At 34.3% G+C, this 27,901-nt stretch overlaps 1 protein-coding gene across 10 annotated transcripts in view; it reads right to left on the reverse strand.

Moving 5' to 3' along the window:
- Positions 1–27,901, reverse strand: part of CSMD3 (CUB and Sushi multiple domains 3) — a 1,214,012-nt gene that overhangs the window by 284,770 nt on the left and 901,341 nt on the right. For 9 of the 10 annotated variants that reach the window (NM_001363185.1, XM_017013010.2, NM_052900.3 and 6 more), the window contains one exon: positions 9,337–9,528. In NM_001363185.1, coding sequence (NP_001350114.1) covers positions 9,337–9,528 — 192 coding nt within the window. Of the gene's footprint in view, positions 1–9,336; positions 9,529–23,131; positions 23,357–27,901 lie in introns of those variants that run through there. The other variant, XM_011516815.3, reaches the window with a different exon arrangement.

Genomic DNA, 27,901 nt, shown 5'->3' on the forward strand with positions numbered 1-27,901 from the left:
TAAGGAAGAGAATTTTGATTCTGGCAACATTTCAGCATTTCTGTTCCTTGCATGAGTTGAGATATGTAATATCATCACTACGGTTTGGTAATTTTTCCATTGTCTTTTGTCTGGTACTGCCTTCCTCCATGCACCTCTGCTACTCTTGTCTCAGTACCTGAGTCACTCTCAGAAAATTGTCTCAGCTCTTACTGCATTGAGAATATCTAGTTGCTCAGACTTAATATATTCACCACTACTTTCCTGTCGCTTATATGTTTTTGTGGTACATTATAAAATGATTAGACATAAACTGCTTCGATGTTCTGTAGTCCTCCATCTCCAAGCTTAAATGCCTCCTGAATATTTCTCTTTACAATCCCAGGATAGAGTCCCTCCTAATCAAGATATCACCGTCAACCTGGTCACATAATCCCTCTCCCTTATCCAAAACACTTGTTCAATTATTTGTCTCCCTTACTTTTCCTGGCTTTCTCCACTTTGTCCACAAACACGCTCAGGTTTCTTTCATCTTAAAAATAAAACAAACTTCCCTATGACCTACTTACTTTCACTTTTTTTAACAGAAAATTGTTTACTATAAGGAAACACCCTGCCCCATATAACTTAGATAAGACTCACTTATCATGACCTAGATAAGCTGTCTTTGTCACCCTCTTGTTTATGGCAAGACCAGACACAGACCCTACCAGTTCCGATTCTTTGCTTCTAGCTGAACTGCTTGGCTCACTGATTAATCTGAATAAAATTCTTGTGAAACAAACTTTGATTACGTTTCCCTCCTTATTCTAGGCTCCTGAACTTTGTCCCACTCTCAGCTTTAAGACAGCACAGGATATTTCCGGAGAATAGGTTGGATTCAGAGCACAACATTCTCTCATCTACTATTCAATCAGGCTGCCCTTTCCTCTGACTTCGTACCTGGTTCTCTCTAGCTTTGTTTAGCCTTCTCTAAAAAAAGAAAAAAAAGCCTTTTCATCTAACTCCTGAGATAGGTGCAGATCTTACAGCCTTAGTATTCCCTGTTGCAATAGTCCCTTCCCTGCTCCTTGCAATAATCCTGTCTGAATCAAAGTCTCTTCTTACTAAATTCTGATTTTTTTTTTAATTTGGCATAACTAAGCTTTTTGAAGGGGACATCTACTCTCACTGTCTCTTTCTGCACCCCTGTGCTGTATGTACCTATGGGACAGATTAAGATGACTAACAAGTCCAACAAAGCAGAAAACTAAAGGAGGAAAATGTTTCTTATGTTGTTTCTCAAAGAAAAGTGCCAAAGTATTCAACATGACAAAAATTATCGTAAGGTTTAAAGTTATTTTTATTTTAAATTACATTTAGAGAGACACAATAACCTTTCTATTACTTAGAGAGTCTAGATTAGATGTCTTTTTTTTTTTTTTTTTCGATACAGGGTCTCACTCTGTGGCCCAGGCTGCTGGAGTGCAGTGGCACGACCACAGCTCACTGCAGCCTTGACCTCCCAGGCTCAGGTGATCCTCCCACCTCAGCCTCCCCAGTAACTGGGACTACAGAGGTGTGCTGCCACATGCAGCTAATCTTTGTATTTTTGGAGAGACAGAGTTTTGCCATGTTGCCCAGGCTGGTCTTGAACTCCTGAGCTCAAGTGATGGGCCCACCTCAAGCCTCCCAAAGTGCTGGGATTACAGGTGTGAGCCACCATGCTTGGCCTCTAGATGTCTTTATATGGTCCTTTCTACCTCTCATTCTCTTCTCAACCATTGCCCCAATACAAACATTTCTTAGCTAGCTCCCAATACAAACATTTCTTAGCTTATACTTAAGTGACTTCTGCATTTATAATAATAATGAAGACTTTGCTGCCTTTATCTTTCTCTTCATATCTGTAGTCATTCTTAATTGTTGATCTTTATCTTAAATTCACCATCCTAGTTTCTGGAATCTTAGAAGCCAGTGTTTCTGGGGTTTTCTTCTAGTGTCTTTATACAGACTTCAGTCTTATTATCATACACTTCTTCCTTTACATCTCCTTATAACTTTGGTGATCTCCTAAGTTCCTTACATGGTTCTCTTAATTTCTACTGGTACATTTTTCCTTGTTGACCATATGTAAACTTATGATTTTTATCTTCTAATTTTTATACCCTGATAACACCTTTCCCTATCTCCTCCTACAGATTTCTTGGCTGAACTCTAAACCATATGCCAGAGTGTTTACTGAATATCTCTCTCTGTAGTCTATTGGTACATCAAATATAGAATAGCCTAAATACTCAACCTCAAATTAAATTGGCTTCTTTTCCTAGGTTCCTAAATTGTTAGATGAGCATACCATCCACCTGTAGTCCCAAGCTAGAGGCCTAAGAGTCTTCTCTTTTTTTCACTGCATCCTTATATCCAATCTATCAAGAAGCCCTGCCAGGACTCCACCCTGTAGCTATTTTCAACCGGTCCTTCTTTTCTTGCCTACTACCAATAGGTCTAACTCCTCTCTTTCTCGAATTATTACAATTGATAATTGAAACGATTATTCCCCATTTTTTTCCTCAGTGAAAACATCTAATCGTACTATGTATATGCATAAAATTCTGCAACTGTTTCACATTGTCTAAAATATAATGTCCCAATTCCCATACAGCCTTCATGATCTGACCCATACAGTCTTTCCAGTTTCATCAACCATCAGTGTATACACATAAATTATACTCAAATATTATCATACTGCTTATATTTCCTTGTTCTTCCATGACTTTACTCATTTTGTTTCTTCTTCCTGAAATGCCTGTTTCCCTTCTACATTTATATAACTCTAACTTATGTTTTTAGATTCATCACTGCCTCCAGGAAGTTTTCCTGTAGACCCCAGAATGGGCACTACTTCATCTCTCTCTAAACCATTATGGTATCCATAGTAACCTCTGCCAATCTCTGTTGCTTCTCTTATTGTATTTGTTTTTAATATTCCACTCAGGTGTCAGTATTCATTACTAATATGTAATATTAACCCTCTGGTATCCATAGTAACCTCTGCCCATCTCGGTCATTTCTTTGACTGTATTGACTGTATTTTATTTAATATTCCATTCAGGTGTCAGCACTCATCACTAATATGTAAGCTAGACACTCTGTCTATATTTTATTTATTCCTAGAATTCAGTGCATACTATATATTTCATAACGTTTGTTGAATTGCTAGTGGTTCTTTATATTTGATTATGTAAATAGTGAAGATGACTGTAGAGATGGATGCACAATCTAATTTGTAGCTATGTGTTTTAATAAAAATAGCAACATATTTTACCTTTGGGGCTCTGAAAATAATATGTGAATATGAAAAAAAGTATAATAGCAAATGCGTATACAGGCATACGTTAGGGATATTGCAGTTTCAGTTTCAGACCCCCACAATAAACCAAATATAGCAATAAAGTGAGTCACAAAACCTTTTTGGTTTCCAAGTCCATATAAAAGTTATGTTTACACTATCTTGTAGTCTATTAAGTGCATAACAGCATTGTGTCTAAAAAATGTACCTAACGTAATTAAAAATACTTTATTGCTAAAAAAATGCTAATGGTCATCTGAGTCTTCAGTGAGTCATGATCCTTTTGCTAGTGGAGGAGGGTCTTGCCTAGATGTTGATGGCTGCTAACTGATCAGGGTGGTGGTTGTTGAAATCTGGGGTAGCTGTGGCATTTTCTTTTCTTTTTTTTTTTTTTTTTTTTTTTGAGATGGAGTCTCGCTCTGTTGCCTAGGCTGGAGTGCAGTGGCGAGATCTCAGCTGACTGCAAGCTCCGTCTCCCGGGTTCACGCCATTCTCCTTCCTCAGCCTCCTGAGTAGCTGGGACTACAGGCGCCTGCCACCATGCCTGGCTAATTTTGTTGTATTTTTAGTAGAGACGGGGTTTCACCGTGTTAGCCAGGATGGTCTCGATTTCCTGACCTTGTGATCCGCTCGTCTCGGCCTCCCAAAGTGCTGGGATTACAGACGTGAGCCACCACGCCCGGGGTGGCATTTTCGTAAAATAAGATAATAAAGAAGTCTGCCGTAGTACTGGATTTCCGCGTAGCATGTGATGCTATTTGATTGCATTTACCCACAGTAGAACTTCTTGGAGACACTCCTCTCAAATTCTGCCTCTGCTTTTATCAACTAAGTTATGTAATATTTGAAGTTCTTTGTTGTCATTTCAACAATGTTCACAGCATCTTTACCAGAAGTGGATTCCATCTCAACAAATCACTTTCTTTTCCCATCCATAAGAAGCAACTCCTCATTCGTTCAAGTTTTATCATGAGATTGTAGCAATCCTGTCCCATATTCAGGCTCCACTTATGATTCTAGTTCTCCTGCTACTTCTACCACATCTGCAGTTTCTTCTTCCACTGAAGTCTTAAACACCCCCTCATCACAGTCATCCATGAGGGTTAGAATCAACTTCTGCCAAACTCCTGATAATATTGATATTTCTTCTGCCTCTCATGAATCACAAATGTTCTTAATGGCATCTAAAATTGTAAATTCTTTCCAGAAGGTTTTCAATTTACTTTGCTCAGATGCATCAGATAAATCACTGTCTTTGGCAGCTATAGTATTGTAAAATATATTTCTTAAATAATGCCACTTTAAAATTCAAAATTACTCCTTGATCCATGGGCTGCAAAATGGATGTTGTGTTATTGGCATAAAAACATTAATCTCTTTGCATATCTCCATTAGAGCTTTTGGGTGAACAAAAGCTCATTTGTACATTTTCAACAAGCAGTTGAACAAGCAATGGGTACATTTTCAACGAGCAGTGATATTTTGAAAATCATCTTTTTTTCTGAACAGTAGGTCTCAACAATGGGCTTAAAATATTCAGTAAACCATAGTGTAAACAGATGTGCCGTTATCCAAGCTTAATTGTTCCATTTATAGATCACAGGTATAATTCTTAACAGGCCTAAGATTTTCAGAATGGTAAATGAGCACTGGTTTTATTTTAAAGTCACCAGCTGCATTAGCCCCTATAAGAGAGTCAGCCTGTCCTTTGAAGCTTTGAAGCCAGACATTGATTTCTCCTCTCTAGCAATGAAAGTTCTAGATGACACTATTCGAATAGAATGCTGTTTCATCTACATTGAAAACTGTTTTTAATGTAGCCACTTTCATCAGTGATCTTAGCTAGATCTTCTGGGTAACTGGCTGCAGCTTCTCCTTCAGTACCTACATATTCACGTTCCACTTTAATGTTACAGAGATAGCTTCTTTCCTTAAACCTTACAAATCAACCTATGCAAGCTTCAAAGTTTTCTTCTGCAGCTTTTTCACCCATCTATGTCTTTATAGAATTAAAGAGTTAGGGCCTTCCTTTGGATTAGGTTTTGGCTTATGGGAATGTTGTGGCTGGTTTGATCTTCTATTCAGACCACTGATTTGCTTCATATCTGCAACAAAGCTGTTTTGTTTTCTTATCATTCCTGTGTTCACTAGAGTAGAATTTTCAATTTCTGTCAAGAATTTTACTTTTGCATTCAGAACATGGGTAACTATTTGGTGCAAGAGGCCTAGCTATCAGCCTATTTGGGCTTTCAACTGGCCTTCCTCACTAAGCTTCATCATTTCAAGCTTTTAATTTACAGTGACAGATGTGCAACTCTTCCTTTCACTTGAATGCTCAGAGGCCATTGGTCTAATTTTAATACTGTGTATCAGAGAATAGGTAGGCCCAAGGAAAGAGAGAGACATGGAGGAACAGTCAGTTAGGGGAGCACTCAAAACACATATTTATTGGTTAAGTTCACTGTCCTACATGGGCATTTGTTTGTGGCACCCCAAAACAATTACAATAGTAACATAAAAGATCACTGATCACAGATCACAATAACAACAAAATAGCAATGAAAAAGTTTGAAATATTGTGAGAATTACCAAAATATAATACAGGGACATGAAGTGAGCAGATGCCATTGGAAAAAAAGTCTATTAGGACTTGCTTGGCACAGGGTTGACAAAAACCTTCAATTTGTAAAAAAACGTAATATCTGTGGCATGCAATAAAGTGAACTGTAATAAAATGAGGTATGCTTATATGTATGTATATATGCAAAAAAGACCAGAATGATAGCAAAATGTTCTTTGTGATTTTTTTCCACTTGGATTATGTGTAATTTTGGAGAGGGTAGGGGAGTAATTTTGTTTCAATTGTCCTTATTTTTTAGAAGGAACATTGGTCTTTTTTATTGTTAGAAACAGTATAGAGATGCATACATACATGTAGATGTTATATATGTATATTCCTTATCACAAAATATTTAAGAAAATTTATTACATATAGTAAAGTATCTATTATTTAGATATAAGATTCTCTAAAATGATTTTTATTCTATTACTTAAATTATTGTTTTTCTTCTAGAGACAAGGTCTTACTATGTTGCCCAGTCTCATCTCAAACTCCTGGGCTCAAGCAATCCTCCCATCTTAGCCTCCTGAGTAGCTGGGAACACAGGTGTGCATCTATTTAAATTATTTATCAAAGATTTCTCAATATATTTCAATGCTGTGGTTGATTTTGAAAACCTACGAAAGCCAACAAGAAAAGCAGAGACATTATCTGACGTTTGTAAATCCCAAACTCTTAGTGAGTAAAGAAAATTATCTTTAAATATACTCAACTTTAAATAGCATTTAGAAATGCATCTCTATTTTTGCCCATCTAACCATAAAGCATTCAAAATATAAGTCAGGGATTCATGAATTAAGTTTTCAGTAATTTGCTCTGAATGCAGTGTTTTCTGAGGCAGTTATATGGGCATCAACTATTGATAACTATTTTAAAATCTTCTTAATTTGTTTCTCAAATTCAATTTTATTTGTGTCTTCTTTCTATCTCAAAAGCCCACTCACATTAATGTCTTTCCTATTTACCTTCATATTGAATGCTTCTACTTTCCCGGGGGCAATGTCAAAGTAATTTACACGCTGTCAATTTTGTTGGAATGAATTTTATTAACTCTCTTAAAGATGACGTCCTTCTGTTTGGTACTTGCTATAAGACTGACTGTTTCTATATGCAAGCAAGCAAAACGCTTTATGCTTCGGGGTCTTAGACATAGAATTATGGAGTTTCTAAGAAGTTCAGGGTTTAATCTTTGGCATGGTATTTCCAATCATGAAGTTCTTTCTTATCAGTTTTAGAGGTCAAGCATTCTGCAGCCTTAGCAATTTTTCAGACTTTTTTTTTAAGGTTATTTTCTTCCCCAGAGAAGCTCTAATTTATATCTTCCCCTCAAGCTATCTTTTCCTACCAAAAATAATACACAGTATCATTATCTATAGAAAAACCTCACACAACCTGCTTAACTTAAGTAAGACTTAGTACTCAGCTTTTTTTTTTCTAGAATAGGACTTGCTAGCTAAAGCATATTCTTGTCTAAAAATGGAAATTTGTAATAGCAGATCTCAGAAGTTTTTCATCTTTTGCACCTTGGATTTTAGTGTTATCTAGAATTTTTGTATAAGCCATTTAATATTTTAGGATTTTATGTAAAAACAATTGTCATCAGTTGGCCCTTCTGGTAATTCTAATAAGCAACATCCTTTAGCCAAATCTAAGAATCACAATAAAGCAAGAAGTTCTACAGTAAGATTTTGGTGTTTTATAATTTATTCTTTACATAAATATGCTCTTCATGAGATATGTGGTCAAATTCCAATTAATTAGAATAAGAAGTTTTAATTTAGTTGAAAATTTTTTGGTTAATTGAGTAGTAAACAAACTTGAAAATTTTGAAACAGATACGAAACATTATTTCAATCTCTTTCTTTGCAAACATTTCTTAACAGTTGTTTCCCCGGATCGTATGAGTGCACTTACAGTAAATGTAAATTAATTGATGTTTGTTGATTTAGAATCTTGCAGTGGTACATGAAGAACAATATGGGTGTGAATAGAAATAGTGTAATGGGAGATACAGCTAAATCTGAACTGTTCAAGTGATGCCATTATTTCATGCTTTATAAAAGGGTCTCTAATAAATTTACTTCTTTGTCATTTGTCTTATTTTTTACAGCAGAGATCTAGAACTGTCCGTCTACTGCCTGGCTGGTTTGGGCCTTTTTATGTTGTTTGGTGCATTTAGTGTTTTCTTAAATCCAACTTTATAAAATAGAGAAAATGTGTTGTAAAACTTTTTTTTTTATTATTTCACTGCAAAGTAAGTTCATAGGAACAGAGTACTTTTCTGTCTTGTTTTATTGCTAATTTCCCACTGTTTAGAACAGTGCCTGAGACACAGTTAATGACTAATGAATTTGATTTTGTAATTTTGTGTGGGAGTTACAAGATGGGGTAAAATAAATCTGAATAATTGATTGAGTTTGTTCACTTCTAACTGAAGAACTAACACTCTTTTCCTATTTCCATGGGACTTTCAAAATAAGTCACTGTGAAGTTTATGGGTTAGGTGTAAGTGAACAAAAATAAGATTCTCCCTCTAAAACTTGATACATTTGCATGTACCAAATGCTATAAGAAACACAATGATGAACAAGTTATGGAATCTTCTCCCAAGTTGCTTACAGTGTGGTAAGAGAGAGTATGTAAATAAATAAAATTTTCAGTAGAGAAAACATAGTTTGTTCAAAATGTGTCGTAAATTCAAGATGACACAAATACTAAAGCACCTGAACAGAACAAAAAAGTTTAAGATTAAACTAGTTTAATGATATAGCATATTTTCTAACTATTTTTATTCCAAAAGCGGGACATTCCTCTAAGTCTTTCTCAGACCAAATCATAATTTGTTTTAATTTTCTAGAGTCTAACTTGGAGATTCAATAACAGAGCACGGAGACAAAAGACAGCTGGAAGTATGATCCAGGCGCTACAGCTTCTTAGATCTTCCAAATAAAAACCAATATTCCTTTGGATTACATGAATTAAATAGAAAGACAAAGCTTGGAAATTCTGACATAGGTTCTGACAATATTTTCTTTCTTAAATGAAATAACCATTTTAGAGACAAGATCAATATGACCCATTTTAATATGGGGTCTGAATCCACTCTTTAAGCAATGGATAACTATGGCTACATAGTAAATAAAGGGTGATATAATTTTCCAAGAGCTTTGATTCATAACTGTTTTAGAATCTTAGAAGCATTGAAAAAATTAATGAAATCATCAGCCTTTACCCCATGGAAAAATAATAATCATTTTACAATTTTGTACATTCTGCGGAGGTTAATAATCCTCTGAAATCTTAGACTCTCATATAGAATCTAGTCTAGAATATGGTTCTTAAGAACAATACCAGTTTTTAACCATTGTTTTATGTTTATATAAAATTTTAATTGTTCTTTAATTCATACCTATACAGACTGGTGGGCTGGGCTGCCAGAAGTACCGATTTTCTACCTGAATGCAGGTTATTCTTTCCTCTCCTTGAAGTTCATATCCTGGGTCACATTGAAAAACAACAGTGTCCCCAGGTTCTCTTCCATCCCCATTTCGAGTCCCATTCATGGGGACCCCTGGGTCACGACACGCAGTGGCAACAGAACCTATCAAAAGACAGAGACAAAATTTTAGTTTTGATAACTACCAAAATCAATTTCATATATCCCTGTGTTTTAGAAAATTAATTTTTAAAATTTTGGGGTCAATTTTTAAATGCTATACAATAAACACTTTCTCCATATTTTAAATAATTTATGTGCTAACTTATTTGAAAAAGTGGCATAGTATTTTAGTTACCAAATACTAGATTTACTCAACATTATTAAATGTATTGTGAAAGACACTGAAGATTATGAAAAGAAAGCTTCATACTGGGAAAATATATTTGTTAGGAACATATCCGCAGAGGACTTGTAGCTAGAATATATAAACAACTCTCGAAACTCAAAAAAAAAGGAAGAAAATTAGCAATCAATCCAGTTACAAAATGAGCAAAGACATTTTAATGAAAACGATATCAGAAAACACATGAAAAGATGTTGAACATCACTAACTAATAGAGAAATGCAAATTAAAACCACAATGAGATACTACTACATACATTTCAAATTGGCTCAATTTTTTAAAAAATATATGATAACAATAAATGCTGGTAATTATGGAGAAAACGGGATCATTCATGCATTGCTGGTGGGAATGTAAAGTGGTAAAACCACTCTGGAAAGGATTATGGCACTTTCTTACGAAACTAACCATTCACTTACTATATACCACAGCAATTGCACTCTTGAACATTTATCCAAAAGAAAATAAAACTTATATTCACATGAAAGCCTGCACACAGATATTCATAACAACTTTATCCATAATTGCTAATAACTAGGAACAACCCAAATGTCATTCAACAGGTAAATGTTTAAACGATGGTAAATCCATGCAATGGAATATTACTCAGTAATAAAAAAGAATGATTCATATATATGACTTGGATGAATTTGAAGGAAATTGTGCTAAGTGAAAACAATACAATATCAAAATATTATATAGTTTCATTCTTTTATATAACATTCTTGAAGTGGCAACATTTTAAAATTAGAGGCCAGGCATAGTGGCTCACACCTGTAATCCCAGCACTTTGGGACATCAAGGCAAGAGGATTTCTAAATCCCAGGAGTTTGAGACCAGCCTGGGCAACTAAGTGAGACTCTGTCTCTAGAAAAAATTAAAAAAAAAAAAATTAGCCCAGCATGGTGGTGCATGCCTGCAGTCCCAGCTACTTGAGAGGCTGAGTTGAGAGGACAGCTTGAGCCTAGGAGGTCAAGGCTACAGTGAGCCATGACTGTCCGTCTGCACTAAATTTATAAGTGAATTTGTTTTGTAATATCCATCAGTGTTTCTCAGCAGAGCACTAAATGGAGCATCATGCATCAAAGAATCTGAGGAATTATAGTCTTCCACTATGGATAGAGATCTTTTATAAAAAATGGTGTGTGTGTGTGTGTGTGTGTGAGAGAGAGAGAGAGAGAGAGAGAGAGGGAAACTTACTCATTAAATTTTTCTTGATTTGCTCTGGAATGGTTTCTACCCAAACTAAAATTGATATATTGTATTAGTCTGTTAACACACTGCTATAAATAACTACCTGGGAATGGGTAATTTATGAAGAAAAGAGGTTTAATTGACTCACAGTTCTGTAGGCTTAGTAGGAAGCATGGCTAGGAGGCCTCAGGAAACTTACAATCATGGCAGAAGGCAAAGGGGAGGCAACTACATCTTACCATGGCAGAGAAGGAGAGAGAGAGTGAAGGGGAAAGTGCCACACACTTTCAAATAACCAGATCTCATGAGAACACACTCTCTATCAAGAGAAGAGCAAGGGAGAAGTCCGCTCCTGTGATTCAATCACCTCCCACCAAGCCCCTCCACTGACATGTGGGGATTACAATTAGAGATGAGATTTGGGTGGTGACACAGATTACAATTAGAGATGAGATTTGGGTGGTGACACAGAGCCAAACCATATCACCTATGGATTGGTTTTATAAGTGGAGAGTGATGTTCGACTAATAAAACACATCTTTGTTTTATTAGATTTTAAGTCTGCCATTCATGCCTCCTTTTCCTTAACATAAATATGCAAAGTAAGCAGAAATTCCAACAAAGATAAAGGGTCTTAACAACCTTGTTGTCTCACTCGTAATAATATCATAAAAGGAACATACTTGAAAGTGAATAATAGGCTTATATGTTATAACATCAAAATATAATTCGAGTTTGACCTGTAAAATCCCATGAAATTGTCAATAAAAGATTACTTCCCTTTCTTGTTTTCTTTGCCTCAAAAGTGCTGGCCAATTTCATTTTGGTTAGTCTAGGAATTATCCAGTGACTAGTCTGTTACACAGATGTAGACTGTACTCCTTAAATTAGCTTAACACTCATTAGAAATAATAATAGTCACACAGAAAAAGTATACAAATAGAAGCATATGTCAATAGCTAATAATGCTAATATGTAATACTTGTTGAGCACTTTCTACATTTAAAACACCATGCTATGAGCTGCCTCTCGATTCACAGGAAGTCTGAGTGCTATTATTATCCATATTTTTCCATTGAGAAAATCGAGGCTTAAAAAGGCTAAGGTGCTTTCCCAACATCATACAATTACTTAGGGACAGTTAAAGAACAAATGCAGGTATAAGACCATATCCAAGGGACATTTTTGAAATAAAAGTCATAAAGCCTTTGTAATAAAATGTGCTTAAGTGTTGAATAGAGCGTAAAACTCAACGATATGGTTATTTAAATGGAAGTCTCTGAAACATGCTATTAATCTTTAAGTGTCATTTTAAAATCAGACGAGCAGTTATCCACCTATTATTTTCACTAAAGTAGTCCAAAAACCTACATATTTATAACATCTTAAATGTATTAATTTCTTTAAAAATATTTGCACCGATGTCAACATTAAAGCCTTATTAAATAGGGTTCTATTGTTATATATCAAATTGAATAAAGACCAGCTAAGAAAGAGAAACTTTAAAAAGGCAATTAATTCAGAATAGAGACCAATAAAATAATGATAATAGCAATAATTACTCTCTGTATTTAGAGCATATAGCATGCAAAGCACTTGACTAGCAGCTCAGTTTACACTCAAGCTAAAACACAGAATCCTTACAAAGTGGTATTTTCATCCCCATTTTTAAATGGGTAAAATGAGATCTTAAGATCTCAGAGATCTTAAATGCATGTTCTTAGCAGAGCTGGAATTTGAACTCAACCAGCAGGGCTCTTAACCATTATAGTGTGTTGTCTCAGCACAAACCTATCCCATTACCAGAAATAACATAAAGCCATATCCTACTAGTGGAACTCTGACAGCTGTCTATTGATGAAAGAATTGACCAAAAAAAATTCGACCAATTTGAAATGGAAAGGCAAGAAATATAGAACAATTTGTATCCATTTATTACACATAAAAATATGTTGCTGCCTACATTTTTACTATAATGGAAAGCAGAAAAGAAAGAGGCAAGGTTATATTTGTGGTTATTAAAAATAATAGAAATAAAATTTATTCATATACATATCCAAGTTTAGCCATATATATGCCAAATATATGTCAAATAACATTTTAAAGTAACTACAATATGAAGAACATTTCCACTCCAACTGCTTTTTCACTGTTTCTCCTTCTCATCCCTTATTTTGTTTTATTTCCTTCTTTATAATTTTTTGAGAGGGTAAAGCAATAGATAGAAGCACTCTCTTCTTAACACCATCAAATCCATCACCTCACTGGTATTTACATCCATATTTTGTTTCCTTGTCTTTTAAAATGGAGAAGTTGGCCTTGTTCTGTAAAAAGCCAACCCTAGTTCTTGTGTTGCTAGTATTAAACACTGTTAAGGACTTACTCCTAAATGTTCTTCATCTCCTCTGCATCACTAGCACATTGGATCATTCTCAGTCGCATGTACAGTACTATACTGGATCATTCTCAACAGCATGTAATTGTGGCTTCTATCTTCCATTTTAAATAAACAAACAAAACTTTATAATATCCCCATCCTCTTTCAGCTGCTTTCCCATTTCTCTGCTTTCTTTAATAGAAAATCTATTAAATATATCTCCTGAGAGAAGTTTCTATACAATTGTCTCCAGTTTTATCGTCAGTCTTTCCTCTATTCCACTGTTTTTAAATCCAGGCTGCCATATCCAGTGGTAACTTTTATGGTTTCTTTCAAAAACCTTTCAGCAACATTTATTAAAGCTGACTATTCCTTCCTTCTTCAAGCACTGTTTTTTATTTTGTTGTTTTGTTTTTTGGCCTCCGATTCATCAGCCTAGTCTGGTTTTCTTTCTGGCTTATTTGCTGCTCTCTTTTGGTATCTTTTGCTTTTGTTACTTGATAACCTAATGACTGAGGGCTGGAGTACCTTAGGAATTAGTCCTTAATGCTCTTGTCCCTTCTTTCCACAATTTCTCACTAAATAACTTCATAAGTTTAAGTATTATTTTTAGCTTGATGCCCCTGAAATTTGTATATCCAGCCTCAACTTTTTTCTGAGCTCTTAACCATTCTCTTCAAGTGCCTATTTAACTTCTGTACTTAGATATCTGGTAGGTTCCTTAACTTACTATGTCCAAAATATTGTAAAATTATAAAACCTTTTAATCTTCTGATTTAGAAAGTAAAAATGTAAAAAATAAGTATAAAATTTCACCTATATAAATTTTTCCTAGACAATTGATGTCATTGTAAATGTACTTCTAATTTATTATAATAACCATATAAAAATATGTTTTAGAAATTGTTCAAAATAGAAGGTAAAAATCGTTGACATAAGAAATAGAGTGAACATTAGCAAAAATATAAAATCTTCTAATTTTTACACTACTTTTTATGCCAGTGATTTTACTTTGTATGCTACCATTTATTTCTAATAAAATGAGTTTTTCTATCTGGTTGTTATAATAAATTAGAAATACATTTGCTATGACAAATTTTTACTTTCAAAATAGAACTGTTTCTATTCCACTAAAAACAAATAACTGTACCCATGGCTAAAATTCTCATTACCCCGAATGTGAAAAAAGATAGACATGTAAAAGTAATGCAATTTTCTAACTGCTTATACGTAGAAGAAACAATTTTTCAAGATATGTTGTTTTATTCTAATTATATATAAGGAATCTCTTTGAATTCATTGTAAAAGAATGTATGCTTATCTGAGAAAGCATATATTACTTAGAAATTGTTTTTACAATGCCATCAATCTTCTTCACTGATCTAAATCCACTGAAAGAGTTCATAGCATTCGTCATTAAGTAACACGTCCTTATCAAATCTAGCTTTGCTATGCCCTAGGAAGAAATAAATTGTCCATCAGTACAAGAATTTGAAGAGAACTTCTTATTATAGTTAAAAACAAATGAATGAATGAATGAATAAATGAATGAACAAAACTGTCATTTGTCATTTCAGTGTATGCTGAAGGTTTATTTATAATATGATATTATTTTGAAGCCAGGAGATGTTTATTTCAAGTGTGCCATAACAATATTTACATTACATTTTAATCGCTTTACTCTGTTATGAATAACCTAGGGTTTGTTCAGAAAATAACCAGATGGCTCTAACTACTGCAAAATATAACTGAGTTCTCATTATTGCTACTGTCAATATACTTCTCACTTATTTTATCTTTGCTTCCATCTAGTTGGGAGTATAATTTCACTGGAAATATGCACTTCACTTAATATAGATTTCACAAGCCGAGCTGGTGCATATGTAGTTTTCAACTGAAATATGGATGATTACTTGAAGTCAGAGATAAGTTGAATTACCATTGTGGTGACAAGAGCAAAAGAAAACACGCCGGTTTTCTTACTGCTTTGCTTGGTATAACAAAGAATAAATACACTGAAATCACTCTTAAGTTCTTATGTGTCCTTTATGTTCAGAAAATCGACTTTTTGGTATAAACTTGTTTATTTCAAGACCTTTCAAAGAAGAAAAATCTTGGATCTCATACAGTTGGATGAGTAATGATATCAGAAGCAGGAGACTTAGACTTAGTGTACCGTATTAAGAAAAGATATTAATCCCTTGTATTAGTTCCCTGAATCTTTCCTGCCTTATCTGTAAAACTGGCCTAGGAATATTTCATCTGCTTTATTTAGAATCAGACAAAATATTAAATTTTTATTCTAACAATTATATTCATAATCCTATGAAAATACAATTCTGAAATGAAAAAACACAAGTACACTTTAATATGCTCTGTATAGGTTTTCTAAGCAGTAATTTTATATTTTTTGCCATGTGTCAGGAGACTTAGCAAGGTCATGGGCCAAATTTGGTATTCACAGTTTCTCACATCCCTCTCTTTCAGCTTTATTGCCTTATATTTTTGTATTGGCTAAAAAATGACACTGTATTCTCCACTTCCCTATCTATAAGAAAATCAAGATGGGTAATGGGAATACTTAACCTGTGAGAAAAATCTCATCCAGAGTCAAATCAATTAGAAAATATTTGAAATGCAGATGGTAACCTAGAGGTGGATTTCACCCTGGAGAATTTTGCCCTTGATTGAGCCCTTGCTTTGTACATGATCCATCAATTTTATAAAGAATGTTCAACATCATTATTAGGCCCACACTCTGCCAGCTACTCAGAAATGTGGCTATCTTTAGAATTTCATTATGTTACTAAGGATACATCTAATGATATGGCAAGTCAGGTTAAAGTTGATGGCAGCATGACAGACACATTCTAAACAACCTAGGAAAGAAACAAAGCTGCTTAATGCATGGTATGGAAAAGAAACCTCAAAGCCAGTGTTGTAATATACTTCCAAGTATATAGAAATCTCTTTTTTAAAAATGCATATGCATTTATTACACCAAATAATTATTGAGCCAGGTATTATGCTTGATGTTGGAGATATTAACAGAAACAACACAGCCCTGCTTTCATAGATTCTTATGCTCCAGTATGCCTACAAAAGTTGTTGGCATTGTATCATATCATATCATATCATATACAGTCAATGATATAATTTTTGTGGAATCAAAGGCTTGTTAGGTTGAAGACTATCAAAAGGATCTGTACAAGAAACTCATTTTACATCCAAAGATTACAGAAAATATGAGTTGATTTGAAATAGAATTCTAGTATATGGGGATGACCAGTATTAGTAAGTAAAAAAAAAAAAGAAATAAAAATTATGTAAAAATGGTTTCACATTACTTCTGACTGACACTATACAGTATTTGTATGTTTTTAGTTTTACATTATTAGAAGATTTACCCATTCAATCAGATTCGTTAAATATTTACTAAGTACCAAGTACCAGGTACCGTGCCAAGTTATGGGGACACAAATATCAACAGGATGATATCCTTACCCTTCAAGGAACACAGGCTAAGAGGAATAGTAGATGTGAACATAGTTTTAAAATAATAACATGTGTATCAAAATCTGATGACTTTGTTATTGAAACTGAAAAAATTATTAAGCATGAAACAAGAAGCTAAAAGTAAATAAAATTATATAATTAAAATATGTATTGAGTAACATAATTGATATTATATTGATGTATGTCTCACAATAGTTATACAAAATCTATTTTAAAAATAAAATAATTTCTAAAAAATTAAAATGACATCTGTGTACAAAAAGCATCTTCTTTATATGAATTATCTGAATATTAAAATAACGTGCAAAATAATCATTTCTGTTACACATGTTCATTCTTTAATTGGTTTCTTAGCCACATTTAATGCCCTTTTTACTATTTTTTCTAAAGAATGTGTTTTTTCAATATATTCTTATTTTTATTAGTATTGCCAGAAACATTTTTATATATTTTAAACTGTCGGTAGCTCGACTGATATCATCATAAGCCATACTATTTTTAATTGAGAAAATTTCCTCTTTGTAAGTGTTAGCTACCTGGTAAGCTCAGGTTTAATTCTTTGAAATGAAGAAAAATTTCAATTTTATTTTTATTTTCATTAAGCAGTACGTAAACATTTCAGCTCAAATATTTTCACATGTACTGAATTTTAACTTCTTTTCAGAATACATTTTTGACACACTTTTATAATATGAAACTTGTCAAACAAGTTTTCTTAAATTATGTTTTGAAATATTTATCTACAAGCTGTATAATTATATACAAAATAAATTTTATATATAAAATTTTATTTATATATGATTTATATTAAATATACATTTTCTTAACTTTATTCTATCCCAGAATAAAGTAGAAGTTTAATCCAATTAAAAATAACTATCAAAAGGCCGGGAGCAGTGGCTCACGCCTGTAATCCCAGCACTATGGTGGACCGAGGCGGGCGGATCACGAGGTCAGGAAATCGAGACCATCCTGGCTAACATGGTGAAACCCCGTCTCTACTAAAAATACAAAAAAATTAGCCAGGCGTGGTGGCGGGCACCTGTAGTCCCAGCTACTTGGGAGGCTGAGGCAGGAGAATGGCGTGAACCCAGGAGGTGGAACATGCCTGGAGCCAAGATCTCGCCACTGCACTCCAGCCTGAGCGACAGAGCGAGACTCCGTCCTCCCAAAAAAACCCCAAAAACCATATATATACATATATATATATATATATATTTATATGTGTGTGTATATATATATGTATATATATATATACACACACATATAAAAAATATATATATATATATACAGGGTCTTTATATATATAGTTTTTGTTTTTTATATATATAAATATATATATTTTATATATGTATATATATTTTATATATATAAATATATATATAAAGACCCTTTAACAAGTCAAGGCATACTAAAATACTAAAGTTTCAAATTTTAATATTGTACAGTGTTTGAACTTTCATTCTTCTAAAGAAATCACACTTAAGTGTCTTCCTGTTTATTGTTTTCAATAATTGCTTTCAATTATTGTTATTGTTTCAATTTCAGTTATTGTTTTCAATAATTGCTATTTACTTAAAATTGTAAAAACTGAAGATTTTTAGCACTGTACTAACTGAATATTTTAAGATATTCAGTGGATTTTAATGAATAGCTATCAAAATGTAAACGTTTTATTTTCAAAATCATTCAATATCATAGTAGGGCATTTTAGTTTATTTGCAAAATAGTACTTCAAAAACCCAAACCTTTCTAGGACTTATTGACAATGATCTGGAAAAAGAGAACATGGTACTGGCATACTATGTTCTTTTATTTATTTTTTGAATCAGCTTTACTTTGTCTCTCTCTCTCTCTCACACAACCACACCCACAACCCACAAACACACACCACTTAGTTCAATTATTTCAACTGCATATAAAAATATTTGTATATTTTAACAACAGTTTTATTGTGATGGGTAATTATTACAATTTTATTGGTTGCAATTATGAATTTTGTGTATACAACAACCAATTCCTAGTACATTTCTGTTTTTTAATTTTATAAGAGCTTTGCTTTTATTATAAGGTTATGTACCACCAAAATTTACATTTGTATTTTATCACAAAATAAATAATTTTATCTTTAATATTAAATTTTAATTTGTGGCCTTTGCTCACTTTAAATATTTAAAAGATAATTTTTTTGCTTAAAGTTTTTTTAAAAGGGTTGTGATGTTTATAACATATGTAAAAGTAAGATAAATGAAAACATGCCCCAAAGAACTGAAGAAGGAAATGGAAATACACTATTAGAGGGTTCTTACATTATATGTGAGGTGGTATAATATTATTTAATGATAGGTTTGTCTATTTGACATAATGACAGGTTTTCATAAGCCAAAGATACACGTTACAAGAGTTAGAGCAAATGCTTTCTTTCCTCCCAAAAGAGGTATAGCTAATAAGCTAATAGAAGAGAAAAAAATGATGGTAAGAAAAAAGTAACAATTAACAGGTGGATTCAATAAAAAAAATAGCAATATGGTAGACAAACTTTAACCAAGTGAATAATTATATTAAATATAAGTAGTCTAATGGTTAAAAGACTCCAACTAAGGGAGAGAGATTTTCAAACAATAAAAAATCAAGATGCAACCATAAGCTATTTACTAGTAGTCTACTTTAAATATAAAGACACTGATAACTTAAAAGTAAAAAGATGCTAAAAGGCATCATATGATATATATATAGAAAAAGTAAACTTTAACACAAGGAAAATTACCAGAGAAAAAGAGACAGATTTCATATCAATAAAAGGGTCAAAAAAGGGTCAAAAAAAACCCATAGCATCCAAAATGTATGCAGCTCATAACATATCTTCAAAACACATGAGGCAAAAAATAAAAGTAAGAGATAAAAAGAATAAATAGACAAATGTGAAACTGCAGTGGGGCATTTTAACACTTTTCTTGAGTAGTTGATAAAATAAGTGAAGTAATGATATTGAATAATTAACACTATCAACAAAATTGATATTTATAAAACACTTCAAAAACAATGGTAATATACTTTTTTTTAGGTAGGTGCACAAGGTATTTTTTTTAAAAAAACATGTTGGGCTATGGTTTTCTCAGTAAAACAAGTCTCAGTAAATTTAAAACTAATAAAATATTAATTTTTAACTGAATGTATAATATATGTTTATCTTTAACACAATCAACTTTCAAAGACTTTATTTTGACTTCATGAAATGAATACAAAAATAAAACTTGCATTGGAATTTAAGTATTTGAGGCAATCAATGTTACTGATTATTTGAAGCAATTGATGTGACTCACATAAAAATAGATTTATTCAACTATTTGTGAAGTTCTGCTAAGGGAGCTGGCATATTAACACTCTTCATACTTTCTCAGAAGAGAATTTAGAATACAAAGTGATGAAATTCGTATAGTATTCATCTGACCTAAATACAAGGTCCTGCTTTTTAAAACATATTTGTGTCTTCTGGTTTTCACATCATCAGTGATAACACTATGGTCCTCATGTACATTAACTAATACACTGTATGCAAGTTGCAAGTTCATCACCACTTTTTAAAAAAATTTTAATTGAGTTTTTTTGTAATTAGTGTGCAGATATTATTAGCAGTTTATACATACTCCTTAATATAAGTACTAAAAATTTAAAAATCATGTAGCCAATCCAAACATCTATTCTAATGATTTATCATCTTAAAGATTGTAGGCAATTTATTCATTAAAAAAAACCAAGTAATAATATCTTAAAATAACTAGTTATACACTCTTAGGTCTAAAGTCCCAACATATACCAGGATTTAAACACAGTAAACCAGGATTCAAACACAGTAAATTCTCAATCAAAATATCCCATTCTTCATAACATGCTAGCAAGTAATTAGGAAAAAAAAACCTGTTACTAACAAAGATGTCGTGATGCCAGTGATAAATTGAATACCAAGGAGCACTTTAATTTAGGAAATAATTCCAATAAAAAGAACATGACAAGTGACATCAGCACAATGGCAAAGTAGAAAGTCCTGTACACTCTACCCCAAAAAAACACAAATTCAGGAACAAATCATCGACAAATTTCCTTTATGAGAAATCCAGAAACTAAGTGAAAGGCTCCTGCAGCCCAGGTGAATGTGAAACCAGACTGACCAAAACTAGCAGAGAGATCCAGAACACCCTCTCGCCAGACTCCTCACCACTGGCACAGTGACATATAATCAGGAAGCGATTCACTCCTAGCTCCCAGCTTCTCCCAGAGGAGAAAGGCCTTGGTTTGCACATGTAGCACCCCAACCATTCCAAGAGGACTCCACAAAGGTCTGGCTTCTGTCTTGCCAGTCTTGGATCTCTGATGGGACCAGCGCAGTACACCAGCTGGGGAAAACAGAGATGGAAGCTAGGGGCAATTGATGCCCCTAGCTTCAAGCTTCCCTGCTGCTCAGATGTCCCAAGTCTTCTTTGCTGCTCAGCATAACATGAGCAACAACAGCAACCACAAAAAAACAACAAATAAACAAACAAAATCAGCTCTCAGCTTCTCTCTGAGAAGAAAAAGAGTTGATCTAAGCATCCAATGCCCCAACTTTGCCGGGATTGCCTAAAGAACTGGCAACTATTTGCCAGTCTTAGAACTCTAACTGGTCTGCCACAAATAAGGGATAATGGAAATAGTGGTTTGGACTGGTAGTGTCATAGTTTCCCCCAGTGGGTCAGCACAGAGCAAATACACAAAAAGCACAGTTAATGCGGTACAGTGGCTCACACCTATAATCCTAGCACTTTGAATATTTGAAAGGCCGAGTTCAGGAGTTTGAGACCAGCCTGAACATCATGGCAAAACCACAACCCTACAAAAAGTACAAAAATTAGCCAGCAGAGTGGTGCATGTCTGTAGTCTCAGCTACTCAGAAGGCTGAGGCAGAAGGATCAGTTTGAGCCTGGGAGGTTCAGACTGCCGTGAGCTGTAAGCATGCCGCTGCACTCCAGCCTGGATGACAGAGCAAGACTCTGCCTCAAAAAAACAAACCAACAAAAATCCAGCTGTCTGTTTCTCCTTGTAAAGGGAAAGAGTTGTTGGTAGAGACTCTAGAATCTCTGGCCAGGCTGGTTGATGGTGGTCTTCTCTGGTACAAGCAGAGTCTGGGAAGACGGGATGCAGTGTGTATAATTGGATAATACACATATGCCAATGCAGAGCATCAAGGAAAATTAAGAATCAGAAAAAAATAATTCAAACAAAGGAATAAGATAAATCTCCAGACAGCAGCCTTAATAAAATGAAGCTATATAATTTATCTGACAGACAAATAAAAATAACTATCATAAAGATGCTCAGAAAGCTCAAGAGAATCATGCATGAACAAAATGAGAATTCCAACAAACAGATAGAAAATATAAGAAAGTACCAAACAGAAATCATGCGGCTGAAGAACACAATAACTAAAGTGAAAAATAACTAGCGAGGTCCAGCAGCAGACTAGATCAAGCTAATAAAAGGACCAGCAACTCAAGGACACATCATTAAAAATAATTCAGTCAAAAGAGCAAAAAGAACAAAATAATGAAAAAAGTGAAGAAACCTTAAGGCTCACAATTTAGGGACCAATATTTACATTATGAGAGTGTCAGAAGGATAAGAGAAAAAGAAAAACAGGACAGTTTACTCAAATAAATAATAGCTAAAATTTTCCCAAACCTGGAGAATGAAATGAACATCCAGACCCAAGAAGTCCAAAGAACACCAAATAAGAGTAACCTAAATAAATCCATACTGAGACACATTACAAGCAAATTGTCAATAGTCATCAAAGACAAAGAAAACATTTTGAAAGCAGAAAGAGAAGAACAACTTGTCACATATAAGGGAAGCTCCATAAGAGTAGCTATTTCAGCAGAAACTTTGCAGACCATAAAGGAGAGTGATGGTATATTTAAAATGTGGAAAGAAAAAATAGCCTGCCACCATACACGGTCAAACTGTCTTTCAAAAATGAAGGTTGGAAAAAGACTCCCAAACAAAAGCTGAAGGAGCTCATCACCATTAGACATGCCTTAGGAGAAATGCCAAGAAAGTTCTTCAATTTGAAATGAAAGGATTCTACACAGCAAACGTACAACACAAGAATATATAAAACTCAGTTGGGACTTTGCATTAGAAGTCCGTGTTGATCCTACCACAATGTAACACAGCATTGGGCAGAATTCCAAAGCCCTTGACTCCGAGCCAATACCCACAGAGGGAATACTTATTCTTACACCAGGCAAGATAGAAATCTGTAGCCACAGCCACGGCAGAAGGGCTTAAGCCCTAGCTGACTGAAATGGTCTTGGGCCTCAAATAAATTTCAGTGGCAGCAATTCTGTAGTGACCATGGTCTTTGGGTGAGCCCCAGTGCTGCAATGACCTGGAAGGCTGTGGGCTTATGATGCAACCCAGTGTGACATCAGCTGCGGGGGCCACAGAAGTGCCTATGTCACCCCTCCCCTAACACAGTTACCCCTCCCCTAGCACAGTGCAGAGACAAACAGAGAGACATCTTCCACTTGAGGGAAGGAGAGGGAAGAGTACGGGGGACTTTGCCTTGGAAACTAGTACAGTGCCACCACAGCACAACACAGCATGCGGCAGATCCCCAAAGCCCCTGATTTCAGGCCACTGCTCCCATCAATTCTTCTAGATCCACCCCATGCTAGAAGGAAATCTGCTACCCTGGCAGGATGGAACAAACCCAAATCTGAGCTGGCTTCACTACCAGCTGCTTAAAGAGGCCTGAGGCTATCAATAAACATCAGCAGCAGTCAGGCCATGATTATGGGCATTGGGTGAGCCTCAGTGCTGTGCTGGTCTGGAAGGTTGCAGGCTTTGGGTGCCAGTTACAACAGCCACAGGAATGGCCATGTAACCCCTTCCCAAACTCCAGGCAGCTGAGTATGAAGAGACTCCTGTTTGAGGTAAAGAGACGAAAGTGAGTGAAGGATCATCCTGGCAACCCAAGAAATTTTCCATGATCTCCCAAAAGTCCATCAGAAATAAGTACATAGAAGTCCACTAGATGGTTGCAGTGCAGTTGGACTTAGAATACTCTCTAGTACTAAAACAGCTGCAGTGACTACAAGCTTGGGGAACTCAATAATAAATCCTATTTGAATTTTTGAAATGTTCTCTGAAGAAGGATGGGTACTAACAAGGCCAGATTGTGAAAACTGGAATAAATAACTAACTCTGAAATGCCCAGACATTGATTGACACATGTCCACAAGCCTCAAGAACATTCAAGAAAATATGATCTAAGCAAACAGACTAACTAAGGCGCCAGTGATTAACCTTGGAGTGCCCGAGATATGCAACCTTTTGGTGCATTCAAAATAGCTAATTTGAGGAAGCTCAGTGAACTTCAAGAAACTCAGATAATCAGTTTAGAAGTTTATTAGATAAATTATATATATAAATATAAATAATTTAAAAAATCAAACAGAAACCTAGAGATGAAAAATACAATTGATGAACTGATGAATGCAAAAATGCATTAGAGTGTCTCAACAGCAGAATTGATTAAGCAGAAGAAAGAATTCATGACATGGAAGATAGGTTATTTGAAAATACACAGTCAAAGGATTAAGAAGAATAAAGAAGGCTTACGAGATTTAGAAAATGGCTTCAAGAAGGCAAATCTAAGTGTCATTGGACTTAAAGAAGGAGTGAGAGGTAGGGATACAAAATATATTCAAAGAAATGATAACAGAGAACATTCCAAATTTAGAGAAAAATATGAATATCCAGGTATAAAAAGGTCAAAGATCACAAAGCAGAGTCAATCAAAATAACACTATCCCAGGGCATTTAATAATCAAACTCTCAAATGTCAAGGACAAAGAGGATTCTACAAACAGCAAAAGCAAAGCAAATAACATATCAATGAGCTATGATACATTTGGCAGTAGACTTCTCAGCAAGCTATGAGAGAGTGTCATGGAATATTCAAAGTGCTAAAGGCAAAAAAATTTCTAACCAAGAATATAGTAGTGAGAAAAACTGCCTTTCAAACATGAAGGAGAAATAAAAACTTTCACAAACAAAGTTAAGAGTCTTCATCATCATAACTGTTTTACAAGAAATGCTAATAAGAGTCCTTCCATCTGAAAAAAAAAGGATGTTAATATACAGCAAGAAATCATCTGAAAGTATAAAACTCACTGGTAAAATTAAGTTCACAGACAAATTCAGAATATTCTAATACTGTAATTGTGGTGTGTAACACTTGTGTCTTTAGTCTGAAGAAGAAAAGACACATCTATCAAAAATAACAACTATAACAGTTTCTTAGGAGATAGACAATATGGAAAGATATAAGTTGATACAACAAAAAGCCTAAATATGGGGAGGAGTATGAAATCAAAATGCAGGGCTTTATAGATATTTCTTTGTTTGTTTCTGTGCTTTTCTCTGCCACTAACCTTAAGTAGCCATTAGTTTAAAATAACTTGTACAACTAAAAGATTTTCTTTGTAAGCCATACAGTAATCACAAAACATAGACTTATAATAGAGAAAGTAAAAATAAAAAGCAAGGGATTCAAACATACTAACTTTGTGGTTAAGAAAATCACTTAACCACAAAGGAAGTGAAGAAGAAAGAAAAAGAGGAGTTATAAAATAACCAGAAAAAAAAGTAACAAAATGACATTTGTAAGTCCTTATCTATCAATAATGGCATTGAATGTAAATTGACTCAATTTTCAATTGAAAAACAAAGTGGCTGAATGAACGAAAAAATAAGACCCAAATATATGCTGCTTACAAGGAACATACTCATCTATAAGGACATGCATATACTGAATGTGAAGGAATGAAACATGTATTTTATGCAAACGGAAACCAAAAAAAGAGCAAGAGTAGCTATACTTAGATAAAATAGATGGCAAGTCAAAAAACTGAAAAGATACAAAGGAATTCATTATGTAATAATGAAGGGGTCCATTTATCAAGAGGATATAACAATCATAAATATATATATATGTACCCAATATCAAAGCATCCAAATATTTACAGCAGATATTAATACAGCTAAAGGGAGAGAGAAAGAACAGTACAATAATAGTGGGGGACTTCAACACTCCACAATCAGCAATAGATAGATCATCCAGACAGAAAATCAGCAAAGAAACATTGGAATAAAACTACACTGCACACCAAATGGACCTACTTGACATTTACAAAAGATTGTATCCAGCTGCTGCAGAGTATACATACTTCTCATTAGCACCAGGAACATTCTCTGAGATAGAGCATAGGTTATGCCACAAAACAAGTCTTGACAAATTCCACAATATTTGAATCATCTTTTCTGACTATAATGGAATAAAACCAGAAATCAAAGACAAAAGAAACATTAGAAATTGTACAAATAACATGGAAATTAAATGACATGCTCCTGAACAACCAATGGGTCAGTGAAGAAATTAAGAAGGAAATTAAAAGATTTCTTGAAAGAGAAAGCAGGAAAGATAAAAAATTGACACCCTAACATCACAATTAAAAGAACTAGAAAAGCAAGAGTGAACACATTCAAAAGCTAGCAGAAGGCAAGAAATAACTAAAATCAGAGCACAACTGAAGGAAATAGAGACACAAAAAAGTCTTCAAAAAATTAATGAATCCAGGAGCTGGTTTTTTGAAAGGATCAACAAAATTGATAGACCACTAGCAAGACTAATAAAGAAGAAAAGAGAGAAGAATCAAACAGACACAATAAAAAATGATAAAGGGGATATCACCACCAATCCCACAGAAATACAAACTACCATCAGAGAATACTACAAACACCTAAATAAACTAGCAAATAAACTAGAAAATCTAGAAGAAATGGATAAATTCCTCGACACATACACTCTCCCAAGACTAAACCAGGAAGAAGTTGAATCTCTGAATAGACCAATTACAGGCTCTGAAATTGTGGCAAAAATCAATAGCTTACCAACTAAAAAGAGTCCAGGACCAGATGGATTCACAGCTAAATTCTACCAGAGGTACAAGGAGGAATTGGTACCATTCCTTCTGAAACTATTCCAATCAATAGAAAAAGAGGGAATCCTCCCTAACTCATTTTATGAGGCCAGCATCATTCTGATACCAAAGCCAGGCAGAGACACAACCAAAAAAGAGAATTTTAGACCAATATCCTTGATGAACATTGATGCAAAAATCCTCAATAAAATACTGGCAAACCGAATCCAGCAGCACATCAAAAAGTTTATCCACCATGATCAAGTGGGCTTCATCCCTGGGATGCAAGGCTGGTTCAATATATGCAAATCAATAAATGTAATCCAGCATATAAACGGAACCAAAGAAAAAAACCACATGATTATCTCAATAGATGCAGAAAAGGCCTTTGACAAAATTCAACAACCCTTCATGCTAAAAACTCTCAATAAATTAGGTATTGATGGGACATATCTCAAAATAATAAGAGCTGTCTATGACAAACCCACAGCCAATATGGGCAAAAACTGGAAGCATTCCCTTTGAAAACTGGCACAAGACAGGGATGCCCTCTCTCACCACTCCTATTCAACATAGTGTTGGAAGTTCTGGCCAGGGCAATTAGGCAGGAGAAGGAAATAAAGGGTATTCAATTAGGAAAAGAGGAAGTCAAATTGTCCCTGTTTGCAGATGACATGATTGTATATCTAGAAAACCCCATTGTCTCAGCCCCAAATCTCCTTAAGCTGATAAGCAACTTCGGCAAAGTCTCAGGATACAAAATCAGTGTACAAAAATCACGAGCATTCTTATACACCAATAACAGACAAACAGAGAGCCAAATCATGAGTGAACTCCCATTCACAATTGCTTCAAAGAGAATAAAATACCTAGGAATCCAACTTACAAGGGATGTGAAGGACCTCTTCAAGGAGAACTACAAACCACTGCTCAATGAAATAAAAGAGGATACAAACAAATGGAAGAACATTCCATGCTCATGGGTAGGAAGAATAAATATTGTGAAAATGGCCATAGTGCCCA

The sequence above is a fragment of the Homo sapiens genome, chromosome 8 (genome assembly GCF_000001405.40).
Source record: "Homo sapiens chromosome 8, GRCh38.p14 Primary Assembly".
In the NCBI taxonomy this organism is placed as follows: domain Eukaryota; kingdom Metazoa; phylum Chordata; class Mammalia; order Primates; family Hominidae; genus Homo; species Homo sapiens.